General features: G+C 39.9%; 1 protein-coding gene across 5 annotated transcripts in view; it reads right to left on the bottom strand.

Moving 5' to 3' along the window:
* Window positions 1–13,274, bottom strand: part of JHY (junctional cadherin complex regulator) — an 81,104-nt gene that overhangs the window by 59,955 nt on the left and 7,875 nt on the right. The gene's annotated exons all lie outside the window — the stretch shown is intronic.

The raw sequence follows: 13,274 nt of genomic DNA, 5'->3' as shown, positions 1-13,274 counted from the left end.
GAAATGCCAAGTCCTTAGTTGAAATAAATTCACTCATTATAGTCAGTTGAACATTTTATTTGAAATCAATCTCAGTCTTTCTCCTATAGTTTTCCTTTTATTATCTGTATGCTAAACACAAATCCCAGCAGCGTGCAGTGGCTCATACCTGTAATCCCAACACTTTGGGAAGCCGAGGCAGGAGGATCGCTTGAAGCAAGGAGTTCAAAACCAGCCTGGGCAACACAGCGAGACTCCATCTTTACAACAAATTTTTTTAAAAAATTAGCTGGGTATGGTGTCGTACCTGTAGTCCCAGCTACTCAGGAGGCTGAGGTGGGAGGATTGCTTGAGCTAAGGAGTTAGAGGCTACAGTGAGCTATAATCACGACACTGCACTCCAGCCTGGGAGACAGCGTGAGACCTTGTCTCTTAAAATAAATAAATTAATTGATTAATAAACATAAAGACAGATCCCAGGCCCAAATTAGACCCACACACTACACATAAGGGCGAAAGGCCTTAATTATCCAAGTTCATTGAAATATGGAATAAAAATGGGGGACAATTAATTTCTAAGTGTCAGAAGACAACTGAAAAACAGATATCTATAATGTTAAACAAATAATCACTGTGGTTCAATGAATGCGATTACTTACGTACACCAACAATGACTCAGTATTTCAGCTGGTGAAGATAAAACTATGTTTCACACTTTGGCTGGTAATACATTTCATACACTGACTAACAATGTTCTGGTCAAGGACAAGCCACATATACGACTGAGGTCCTACAATATTGTAATGGAGCTGAAAAATTCCTGTCACCTAGTGACGCTGTAGCCCTTGGAATATCATAGTACAATGTGTTGCTCATATGTTTGTGGTGCTGCTGGTATAAACAAACCTACTGCACTGCCAGTCCTATAAAAGTATAGCACACACAATTATATACAGCATATAATCCTTGATAATGATAATCAACAACTATGTTACTGACTTTTGTATTTACTGTATGATATGGTTTGGATCTGTGTCCCCACCCAAATCTCATGTCGAACTGTAATCCCCAATGTTGGAGGTAGGGCCTGGTGGGAGGTGACTGGATCATGGGGACAGAGTTCTCATGAATGGCTTAGCAAGCACCATCCACCCTTGGTTCTGAGTAGTGAGTGAGTTATGGTGAGATCTGGTTGTTCAAGAGTGCATAGCAGCTCCCCACCCTCTCTCTTGGTCCTGCTCTGCCGTAAGAGGCCTGCTCCCCCTTTGCCTTTGCCATGATTGTAAGTTTCCCGAGGTTTCCTTAGAAACCAAGCAGATGCCAGAATCATACTTCCTGTAGAGCCTGTGGAACTGTGAGCCAGTTACACTTCTTTTTTTAAATAAATTACCCAGTCTCACTCAGGTATTTCTTTGCAGCAATGCAAGAACAGGCTAATACACTATACTATACTTTTTTTTTTTTTGAGACAAGTCTTGCTCTATCACTCAGGCTGGAGTGCAGTGGTGTGACCTTGGCTCACTGCAACCTCTGCCTCCCAGGTTCAAGTGATTCTCATGCCTCAGCCTCCTGAGTACCTGGGATTACAAGTATGTTTTAACATGTCGGGCTAATTTTTTTTTTTTTTAATTTTTAGTAGAGACAGGGTTTTGCCATGTTGGCCAGGCTGATCTTGACCTCCTGGCCTCCTGTGATCCACTCGCTTCAGCCTCCCAAAGTTTCGGGATTACAGGTGCAAGCCACCGTCCCCAGCCACTACACCATATTTTTTATCATTATTTTAGAGTGCACTCCTACTTATTTTTTAAAAAGTTAACTGTGAAACAGCCTCAGGCAGGTCCTTCAGGAGGGATTCCAGAAGAAGGCCTTGTTATCCTAGGAGATGACAGCTCCGTATGTGTTACTGCCCCTGAAGACCTTCCAGTGAGACACGGTATGGACGTGGAAGACAGTGATATTGATGATTCGAACCCTGTGTGGGCCTAGACTAATGTGTGTGTTTGTGTCTCAGTTTTTAACAAAAAAGTTTAAAAAATAAAAATTTTTTTTTTTTTTTGAGACAGAGTCTCGCTCTTTCGCCCAGGCTGGAGTGCAGTGGCGCTATCTTGGTTAACTGCAAGCTCTGCCTCCTGGGTTCACACCATTCTCCTGCCTCAGCCTCCCGAGTAGCTGGGACTACAGGCACCTGCCACCGCGCCTGGCTAATTTTTTGTATTTTTAGTAGAGACAGGGTTTCACCGTGTTAGCCAGGATGGTCTCGATCTCCTGACCTCGTGATCTGCCTGCCTCAGCCTCCAAAAGTGCTGGGATTACAGGCGTGAGCCACCGCGCCCAGCCAAAAAAAATTTTTTAATAGAAAAAAGCTTACTTACAGAATAAGGATATAAAGAATTTTTATACAGCTGTACAATGTATTTGTGTTTTAAGCTGTGTTATTACAAAAGAGTTAAAAAGTAAAAAAAAAAATTAAAAGTATATAAAATAAAAAAGTTACAGTAGCTAAGGTCAATTTATTAATGAAGAAATATTTTTAAAAATAAATTTAGAGGAGTCTAAGTGTACAGTGTTTCTGAAGTCCACAGTAGCTTACAGTAATGTCCTAGGCCTTGAAATTCACTCCTGCTCACGCACTGCCTCACCCAGAGAAATGTACAGTCCTACAACCTCCATTCATGGTGAGTGCCTATATAGGTGTACCATTTAAAAAACTTTTATGCTTTATTTTTACTGTACCTTTTCTATGTTTAGATGCACAAATACTTACCAAGGTATTATAATTCCCTACAGTGTTTAGTATAGTAACACATTGCACAAATTGTGTGTAGTAGGCTGTACTATCTAGGTTTGTGTAAGTGCACTCTATGATGTTCCCACAATGATGAAATCACCTAACCAAAAATTTCTCAGAACGTACCCCTGTCATCAGGCAATGCATGACTGTATAGACATCTGCTGTTTAGAAAGAGAACTGTGAATTGTTGCCTAGACAACATTTGCTTCAGACTGCTCCTTTTTGGGGGAAAGCACGGTTTTATCTTGACTGCATACCTACGTAGATTCATTCTTCTTTTCAGTGATTTTGCTTTTCACTTCATTTTGTCTTTGTAGCGTGTATCTAATGTACTACAGAAAGATCCCCGAGGCTTCAAATCAGACCAGATCACGGCTCACTGAAAGGTTCATAGCCTCTTGGCTGTCAGCTATGCACACGAAGCTCAGTCGATAGGTCAGAATGTACTTGACACTGCAGGAGGGGCCTATTTGAATAAAAGGTTAAGCATACGGTCCTGCCTGAGAAAAACAAACTAACCTATAATCAGTTCATGTGACCCAATATAAAGTCTCCCTTTTCCCCATGACAATCTCAATTTGTAAAGCACCCCCAGTCTTAACCAAAAAAAAAAAAAAAAAAAAAAAGCTGGTAGTATGGCATATTTAATGGCCTCTTTGATCTTCAAAAGCTAAATGGGAGAGATTTTCCTTCCTTGAGTACAGTAGATGCAACCCTCTAATCAAAAAGAAAATGTAAATCACCCGGGCTTTTTATGCTATTTGATATTCCCGTTTACAGAGGACATAATTGTATGCTGGGTAAACAAACTAATGGTCCCCCTAATGTTAATTTACTTTTCTTAATGTGGACCCAGGTTTCTTTGATTTGATGTAAAGCAACAACTGGAGCAAAAAGCCAAAACTGTCACGCCTTGCTGAATTGTCATTTTGAATTTTTTAGTTCACATATTATGATGAGGAACTTCTTGAAATAAGTCGCACCTCCTTTTCCAACAAGAGAAGAGAGATGCTCCTCTTCTTCAGCAAAATGGGAATGGTCTACATTTGTTAGAAAATGGGATGCCTAAAACCTCGCTGCACTGCAGGGTCACCTGCCTCTGGGGCTTTGACGGGGAGGTTTCTCCCAAGTGATGCACTGTCCTAGGAACTCACAGTGTTTCCTGTCCCTGCCTTTCACTTGACCCTTAAGCATCATGGGGCAGGGATATGGGACATGGGGTCCAGCAGTGTCCGGCAGGGCACAGACCTGGGCTCACGTTCTCCATCTGTCACTACCTGTTCTGCATTGGTTGGCAAATCAGTCATCTCTGATTCAGTTTTTCTCATCTATAAATCGGGATAAATTCTATTTGTTTTATTTCTCAGGACTGAATGAGGATCAACATGAGAGAATGTGTCTTAAAGTGCTCTATGTTTGTGCTTACTTAATTTTTCACTGTGATAATCTTGTCTCCTCACTAGACAAATTCCCAGGCAGCGGGGACTGCAAGTGATCTTTCGTTTCCTAACTTCTGCCCTAGTATGCTGCACTGTGCTATGGACAGAAGAGTCAATAAATACTTCTTGAATAAATAACTCCTTTTCTAAAAATATTCTAGTCAACACAAATACAGCATAAATATTTATTTTTAAAAATCAATAGTAATAAATTCGAATCTAAACATGTAAAGGCTTCTTGCATTAGACCAAATTAGGGAATGATTTTTAGGGCTTATCTTGTGCTGAATTAAACATAAGTTTCAACTGTGGTTGTTCAGGTGGGGAAGAAAGCTCAATTATTGTCTTCAAGTAAATACAGATTTTTTTTTGTAAAGAAAGGTGCTATTTTCCCATATTTATGCTGTGATGAAAGAAAAAAACTGAATTTAACTTTCTTAATTCAATTTGCTCATTCATTGATTCAGCAGGTATTTATTTATCGAGCCCTTACGAAGCTACAGGAATAGTGGTAGATGGTGAAGCAGCGGACACACAGCCTAGTAGGGGATACAGACCAGGAAACAGTAATTGACACTTTGGAGTGATCTGTGCTCTGATGAGGAGCACCGGGCCATAGGGACACAGAGGGACATCCAGTCCTATCTTGGGAGGTCAGGGAAAGCCTTCTGGAGGAAGTGCTGGCGTGACTCAGAACTAAGGCTGAGAAGGGCAGGAAGTCTATGCCAGGCTGAGGGAACAGCATGTAAAAAGGAGAGGAGGCAGAGACAATGTGGTGCTTTCATAGAACAAATTCTGTGTGGACAAAATGGAGGGTGAGAGGAGGGCAGGTCGAGGAGCACAGCTCAAGGGCAAGCAAAGGTCAGATCTCGAGGGACGTTGCAAACACTTGAAGCAGCTCGGGCTTAACAAAATTAACCAGAGAGTTAATTAGCAAGCAAAGATTTTAGTAAGATGTAAATACATTTGGACAGCCAAAGTGAGGACTTTCTGGAAGGGATTATCTACAGAGGCTATGAAGTCCTTTTTGGAAAACTTAGAACAAGTAATCCTCTACTTTGTACTGTTTAGAGCAGGGCTGGCCACCTTTCACAGGTGACAACACTGGGGATCACTGTTCTGCTACTCACTCAGGAGTGGGATGTGGAAAGGGAGCACGTGTTACTGTTTGATGATCTAGGGAATGTTTGTTGTGAGTCTTCAGTTTTTTTTCCTTGGAACAATGTTAAGGGAAGTACTATTATTACCCCCATTTAACAGACGAGGAAACTGAGGCTTAGAGGGCTTATGTACATCTCCCAAGGTCACAGAGCCTGGCAGTCTGCTCTGGATCGGGCTCCTGCACATCATGTTGCATTGTACCCTGCAGCTATTCCCATAGGTGACAGTGAAGAAAGTAGGTTGCAGTGTCTGCCTTATGTGAATCAGCGAATGGATCAGTCGGTCAACAGATAAGCATGGAACACCTCCCTACATACAGGCAGAATCTTAGGCACAGAAGATACAGCAGCAAGGAAAACAGAAGCAGGCTGCTGGATCTTACCCTTCAATGAGGAGGACAGGCTTTATGCACCAACAGTAATACAGTAATCAACTAATGAATTCGATGTGTAAAGAAATACAGGACGTTATGGGTATTTAAAACAGGAGGATGTGACTTATCACAAAAATATGTTAGCCTCTTATTTCCACATTCAATTGCTAGATGATATCACAAAGTCCATTCCAACTCCACTGTTCTATGATCCTATGATAGACTCATGAAAGAATGAATAACTGAGTAATGCCCACTATTTTTAAAAATTAGGTAGTCTTCAGTTTAAGGAAATAGATTTTCTGGTTTCCATCTCTGCCGTTATGCTAAGAAAACTGGTGCACTCATACTGGTCGTGGTATTTAACCAGCATCAGCTGATAAGGGCATAGTTTCTACAGTCATGACTACAGACCTCCTTCCATCACATGTAATATTGCGGTGCTTTGTTTCTCTGTATGATAATATGGATTATTTTGGTTCTGAGAAATGGTACAGCAGAGCATCTAAGAACAAGGGTCCTAGACTACCTGCATTCATTTCCTGGTGCCACCAGATTATGTGAATGTGGGCAAGTTATTTAACTTCTGTGCTTCAGTTTCCTCATCAATAAAATGGGGATAATAATAGTACTGGCCAGGTGTGGTAGCTCATGCTTGTAGTCCCAGAATTTTGACAGGTCCAGGCAAGGGGCTCACTTGAGGCCAAGAGTTTGAGAGCAGCCTGAGCAACACAGAGAAACCCCTCGTCTCTACAAAAAACAAAGCAAAACCAATCAGCCAGGTACTGTGGCATGTGCCTGTAGTCCCAGCTACTCAGGAGGCTGGGGCAGGAGGATGGCTTAGCCCAGGAGGTCGAAACTTCAGTGAGCCATGACTGTGCCACTGCACTCCAGCTTGGGCAACACAGCGACACCCTATCTCAATAAAAATAAAAAAGTTAAAAAAATAATAATAGTACCTACCTCATCGTGTTATTGAGAGGACTATGCAAACTAATACATCTAAATTTGGCCAGGTGCGGTGGCTCACGCCTGTAATCCCAGCACTTTGGGAGGCCGAGGCAGGTGGATTATGAGGTCAGGAGTTTGAGATCAGCACGGCCAACATGGTGAAACCCCGTCTCTACTAAAAATACAAAAATTAGCCGGGCATGGCGGCACGTGCCTGTAATCCCAGCTACTCAGGAGGCTGAGGCAGGAGAATTGCTTGAGCCTGGGAGGCAGAGGGTGCAGTGCGCCGAGATCATGCCATTGCACTCCAGCCTGGGCAATAGAGTGAGACTCTGTCTCAAAAAACAAACAAACAAACAAACAAACCATCTAAATGCATAGAACTGTGTCCCTGGCACACAGTAAGGGTTCCATGAGGACTACCTGTGGAAGCACGTGTCAGAGAGCTCCAGCACTAGCCTTGCTTGCTGTACGTCACATTCAGTCCCCGTGACATAACACCGTTGTTGTGTATTGTGCTTCTGGTGATGGATCTCAAGGGATTCTTCTCTCCCCAGGGCTTAACTTATTTCCAGGGCACAAAGTTGTCTTGTGATACACTAAGTGGTTCCCTAATGGCCTGAAAGAATTAACACCCATCTTTAAAAATCCAGTTTTTAATCACGACTTAGGCACGGTGGAGAATGGCCAAACCACAATTTAGGGAATGGGATTAAGAAACGTAAGTACTTTCACATGATGAAACATTTTAACAATTGCTGAAAGATGATGAATAAGGTAAAACTCCAAGAATTAAATTATTTTAGACCTTCTGAAAAAGCTGTAATTTCTAGCCTCAGCAAATTTCCTTTTTTTTTTTTTTTTTTTTTTTGAGACAGAGTCTTCCTCTGTCGCCCAGGCTGGAGTGCAGTGGTGCGATCTCAGCTCACTGCAACCTCAGCCACCTGGGTTCAAGCCAAATTTCCATTCTTAAATGGCTGTAGAAGCAATATCACCCACTACAGAAAAGATTGATGTTTTAAGTGGAACCTAGAAAATACAAAGGGTTTAGAAACACGCCAGACTAAATGAGTTGCTCTGGCTGAGAAAAATGTTTTTGAATCAGAGAAACTCTAAGAATGTGTATATATAAGGGTAGAGCCTGAAGATGTGGCTCTTATAAGAGTTTTAATTACGTTGCACCATTTACACCTGAAAAGACTATCTTAAACATCCCCTTTCTCTCCTTTCTGGATGGAAAACACATGTGGAGACAAATAGGAGGTTATGTTTTGCAAAATCATGAGCCTAGAAAGCTGTAATACTTCACAGGAACAAATCTAATGGTCAAAATAGAACATGATACTGAAGAACCCCATTGTACTGAGCTTGTGTGCTTGGAAGCTCCATTGTGTTTTGTGGTCCAGGTCAACACTGGGACAAAATGAGTGTGAAGTGCCCTTTCATTAGTCATCATCTGCACACAAAACATGCACCTCTTTTCCTCCCCATTTGATAGAAAGGTTACACAGAAAATGAGTACACAACTCTTTTGTTACTGTTCAGACAGCAGATGCAGAGTCTGCTCTTCAGATGCCTAGGTTAGAAACGGAGGCAGAGAGGAAGGGAGTGGGGGACGGTTTCACATGCATATGCCATGATATTTGCTGGCTTTAATGGACCATATTTGAGTACTTATTGTGATAACTTCAAACCAAATAAAATAAAGTCTCCATTTAATGAAGAGCCTCATATTCAATATTGTATTCAATCAAAAAATTACTAAAATTAGAGCATGTTTCTAGTACAATTAACATCCTTTGCACTCACAATAAAATATTCAATAACTGGCCATTTTGCCTGTTGAGGAGGTGAATAAAAGCATTGCTATTAAGCATTTAGCTGTTATTTATTTGTCACTTCATTTTAAGTACGCAGTTAAATTGAAACTGCACATGTTATTATTGATTTAGGTTTAATTTAATCCTTTTAAACAGAATAATTATTCCCAATTTATATGCCATTAAATCTTTTATGCATATGAACAGCAAATTCAATTTTTGTTTAAGTGTAAAGTTTTTAATGCTTCTTTAAGGAACTATAAAACTGATCATTGTTTCCAAGGATTTCTGAATTCTATGCTCACCTTAATCTTCTTATCAATAGCTTTTAAGTAAATAAAATGAAATAAATCCGAAAGATTAAAAATTCACTTCTGTAAATATGAAATAAAATGGTTCCACAAATATGCTGAAATGCTTTGTGAAGGTTATTTGCAATCCAGAAAATTTTATTTAATGCAGGCATTTATTCTGCTAAAAATTTAAGCATTTTAATAGAAAAAAGGATGCTTTAATGAAATGAAGGTCAAAGACTGTCTATAGGAACACACTAAAGAGGCCGGATTGTTATTTAGTGAATTTTATTTATAAAAATACATAATTTGGATAATTCCAACCAAAGTCCTTTTTTTTTCTTTGATAACAGATTTGTGACTGCAGAATACCAGATATTTCTCCTGGGTTCTTAATAGTACCAGTCTTGATTCAAGAACAATCTGTGAGTTAAATGAAAATTATCTAAAGAAGACATGTTTGTAATTGCAATGTAAAATTCTAGTACCTCACTTCTATTAAGATTATGTCATGTGAAACCAAGGCTGCATCTTCACAAGGGAAATGCTGTATGACACAGTATTTAGAAACATAATTCCTCTCATTCAGCGACAGCTTACAGTGCTAATGCCAGACATTTTCCAAGGAAGGCTCGAGTGTTTTTTTCATTCTCCAAAATAATAGCTAAGAGACAGAGACCTAGATTTATAAAATGTGCACAGGTGCTTACACTTTCTTTAGGTAGAGTTTCTTCTTCTTCTTTTACGTGGCTTTTTGTTTTTGTTTTTGTTTGCTTTTTTTTTGTTTTGTTTTTTGAGATGGAGTCTTGCTCTGTCCCCAGGCTGGAGTGCAACGGCGTGATCTTGGCTCACTGCAACTTCCGCCTCCTGGGTTCAAGCGATTCCCATGCCTAAGCCTCCTGAATAGCTGGGATTATGGGCCCGGCTAATTTTTGTATTTTTAGTAGAGACGGGGTTTCACTATGTTGGCCAGGCTGGTCTCGAACTCCTGACCTCAAATGATCCTCCCGCCTCAGCCTCCCAAAGTGCTGGGATTATAAACGTAAGCCACCACGCCTGGCCAAGTTTCTTATATTTTAAGTGCCAGATTTAGCAGCATTAAAATTGTAAGGCAGCTGTGATATCATAAGAAGGCAATGGAGTGGTCTTGACACCTGGGTTCTAGTCCAAGCACTAACCAGCCATGTGAGCTTGGGCAAGTCTTTCCACCACTCTAGGTCTTGGGTTCCTCCTCTGTACAATAAATAAAGGGAATGGGCTGACCTTTGACAGCCCTAACAGCTCTAATAATCCATTACTTTATTAGTTGGATTGGGCCTATCAGGCAAAACCTAGCAATATATGGAAGTGTTGGGAAAATCATTTATTTTTAATTCCATATATTAAAAAAATATATTAAAGTTTTCTATATTTTCAAACTTGTCAGGGAGTAGAAATAAATGAAGAGGCAAAGGTCATGAATTAAAGCATCCCTTTAGTCATTTCATTATGATCTTCTTGATCCTCTTGATAAACTCACAGCGTTGTAGGTCATTTAAATTTAAATAAATCACACTTTATGAGGTTTTGAACTCACTATGTATGTACTTATTTTAACGCAATAATGCATCCCAGTTTTGAAATAACCTAGGAAGGAACTAGTGGTTGTCTCCGGGGGCAACAAGCCTCAGGAGTCACTATGGCTTTAGCATTTCTGGCGGGGACTCAGCCTTTAATAGCTACAATTCATGCCCATGCACACCCTTTACTTCCCTCTATGACTGCTCATCTGTTACGATGGCACCATGCCTGCTCTGAGGAGTGTGTCGGGGTTTAACTAAAGCATAGTTTGTGAGTAAATGAATGAACAGAAAACAGAAATGACTAATACCTGCAACAAAAAGTCACTCCTCTGATATAACTATTCTCATGTGATCAGAAATAAATAAATAAATACTAGTAGCTACTCCCAGAATACTGCATGGAAACCTCTAGAACATGGCAGGTAGTGTAATGTATTGTAAGAGGTTGGCAAAACAATGGCCTTAAATTGAAAATCTAATAAAAGGCAACAGAAAACAACATGGATGAATGTTGCTAGAAATCAATGGGAATGAAAGTTGACTCCTGAAAGCTCCTAGAATGTTCTCAATAGTCCTAGCATATTAGACCTAACTTCAGATGCTTCTTTAATCTCCTAATCAGTACGAAAAAAATCTCTGCACCACCTATGGAGACACAGTAGTCTAGTCTCAGCCTAAATATTCCTGATGCATTCTACAAAACAGCCTGGGAAATTTGGGGGAAATGAAAATCCTGAGTTTTGGTCTTCCCTAAGTCTTTCTCTACCTGTGGTCTCTTTTGGTTATCCAATGTCACTCTTCAAGCCCTAGAAGTCATCATTCAATACTTCACCTGACTCGTATTATTAATCAGAAACAACACACATGAAAGCATCTGAGAGAAACAATTATATACAACAATAAAAATGCAGATTATTGGCCAGGCGCGGTGGCTCATGCCTGTAATCCCAGCACTTTGGGAGGCCGAGGTGGGCAGATCACGAGGTCAGAAGATCAAGACCATCCTGACTAACACGGTGAAACCCTGTCTCTACTAAAAATACAAAAAATTAGCCAGGCATGGTGGCACGCGCCTGTAGTCCCAGTTACTCAGGAGGCTGAGGCAGGAGAATTGCTTGAACCCAGGAGGCGGAGGTTGCAGTGAGCCAAGATCGCCTCACTGCACTCTAGCCTGGGTGACAATGCAAGACTCCATCTCAAAAAAAAAAAAAATGCAGATTATTATGAGTCCCTTTTTTTTTTAACTTGCAGACAATTCTGGATACTCAATTTAACTAGTAATTCCTCATGTGCCTATCTCCCTCCTATTAATTTATAATACAAGGTGGTTTCTTAGACAGAATATGGGCCCTTTTGTGGAGGCTATGGTCAGAAGTGATCAGAAAGGAAAGCACTGCAGACCTCACTGCATGAAAACATTTGTTTCCCAGGACAAGTGCTGAAGAATAATGGCTACTATGACCTCCCAGCCCAAAGGAAAATATAATTCATGTCTATCTACTCTGAGGTCACAGTATCCTCTAAAAATGTTTATTACTTTCCTGAAGTTTATCATTTTACATGCATATTTACTCTGGCCTCAGTTTAATCTATACTGAAATTGTCATAGTTTTAATTTTTACTGGATAGTGAAATAGAATCCTCTATCAGCTCAATCCTTGATTACCTATCTGAATACTTGTAATTAGTGGCTCAGGCTTTAGCGTTTGGAGAGAGGTCAATTTAATTTCTGGCTCTACTATCTAGTAATTACGTATACCTATACAGCTCTCAGATCTGCAGTTCCTTATCTGCAAAATGGGGATAATAATGCCTATCCAAGAGGCTCCTGTAAGGATAAATGAGATTGTATATATAAAGCAAAGAGTTTTACAAATGGTAGCTAATTATATAAATATTCCTGTTAACAAGACCTTATTAAACACATATAAAGTACTGTATGGCTGCTCTCTGATTTTTTTTTTTTTTAATATACAAGGTTTCAGAAGTCCCCAGGACTGAAGAGGTTGTTTCTAATGCTCTAGGAATTACACAGATCTCTTTCTTCGTGAGTGCTGAGTGTCATAAGGCCAGTTCTGGAGTGGGGTTTAAGGATTATCACGTGAAGATCCCCTCTCCACTCTTCATTTATTCACTACAGTCAATGCTGCTCCAAATTCCATTAAGTAAAAGGTTTTCTCTCATCCATATACATTGAACTATGGCTTGACTTTGGTCAGATACAAGGGAATAATTGCTTTGAGGAGGTTCTAGTAACATCAAAACACAAGTGTAGGACTCAAGTGATTTGTCAGGCAGCTTTTAAAATTATTGATTACAAAAGCAAGAAGAAAGAAATTTTCCTTGGTTTTAAGGCAAGCTTTGACAGTTTTGTTTTTGAACTACAATTCCCAGAATGCCATCTACTTTACAGACATAAAAGCCTACTTGAATTTCATATTGAGAGTCTGAGATCAATTTCCTTGTCTATTTCAGGGCTCATAAACTACTCAGATCCCAGCAAGAGTGTGCCTAGGAGAGGCTTCGAAGACTAACATGAGGCAGGGAAAGGGACCAGTAATGAAATGCTTACCTGAATGATATTTTTGAGGCATTATTTACCCAAATGCTTCAGTTCTGTTTTCCTTTTTATTGGAGAACTGGTTATCCTAATTTCAGTGTATGAAGCACTATATAGCCAAACAATGACTAGGGCTATAACCTATTCTAACCCTAGGATTTACAGTTCATCATTAAAAAATGTCCAAGGCAAATCAATCTGAGGAAAACAGCCTTATCTGAGGACCTCTGAATGAGAAAACCAAGGATCTAACCATAATTTTGATTTTTATAAGCATTATTCTTTATTTTGAAACATATTAGATTGTATTTAAACTGTCCTTTGGTAAGAACAAGGGTTAAAGTC

The sequence above is a fragment of the Homo sapiens genome, chromosome 11 (assembly GCF_000001405.40).
Source record: "Homo sapiens chromosome 11, GRCh38.p14 Primary Assembly".
In the NCBI taxonomy this organism is placed as follows: domain Eukaryota; kingdom Metazoa; phylum Chordata; class Mammalia; order Primates; family Hominidae; genus Homo; species Homo sapiens.
Note: the sequence above shows the minus strand (reverse complement) of the source record. Positions and strands in the feature narration are given on the sequence as shown.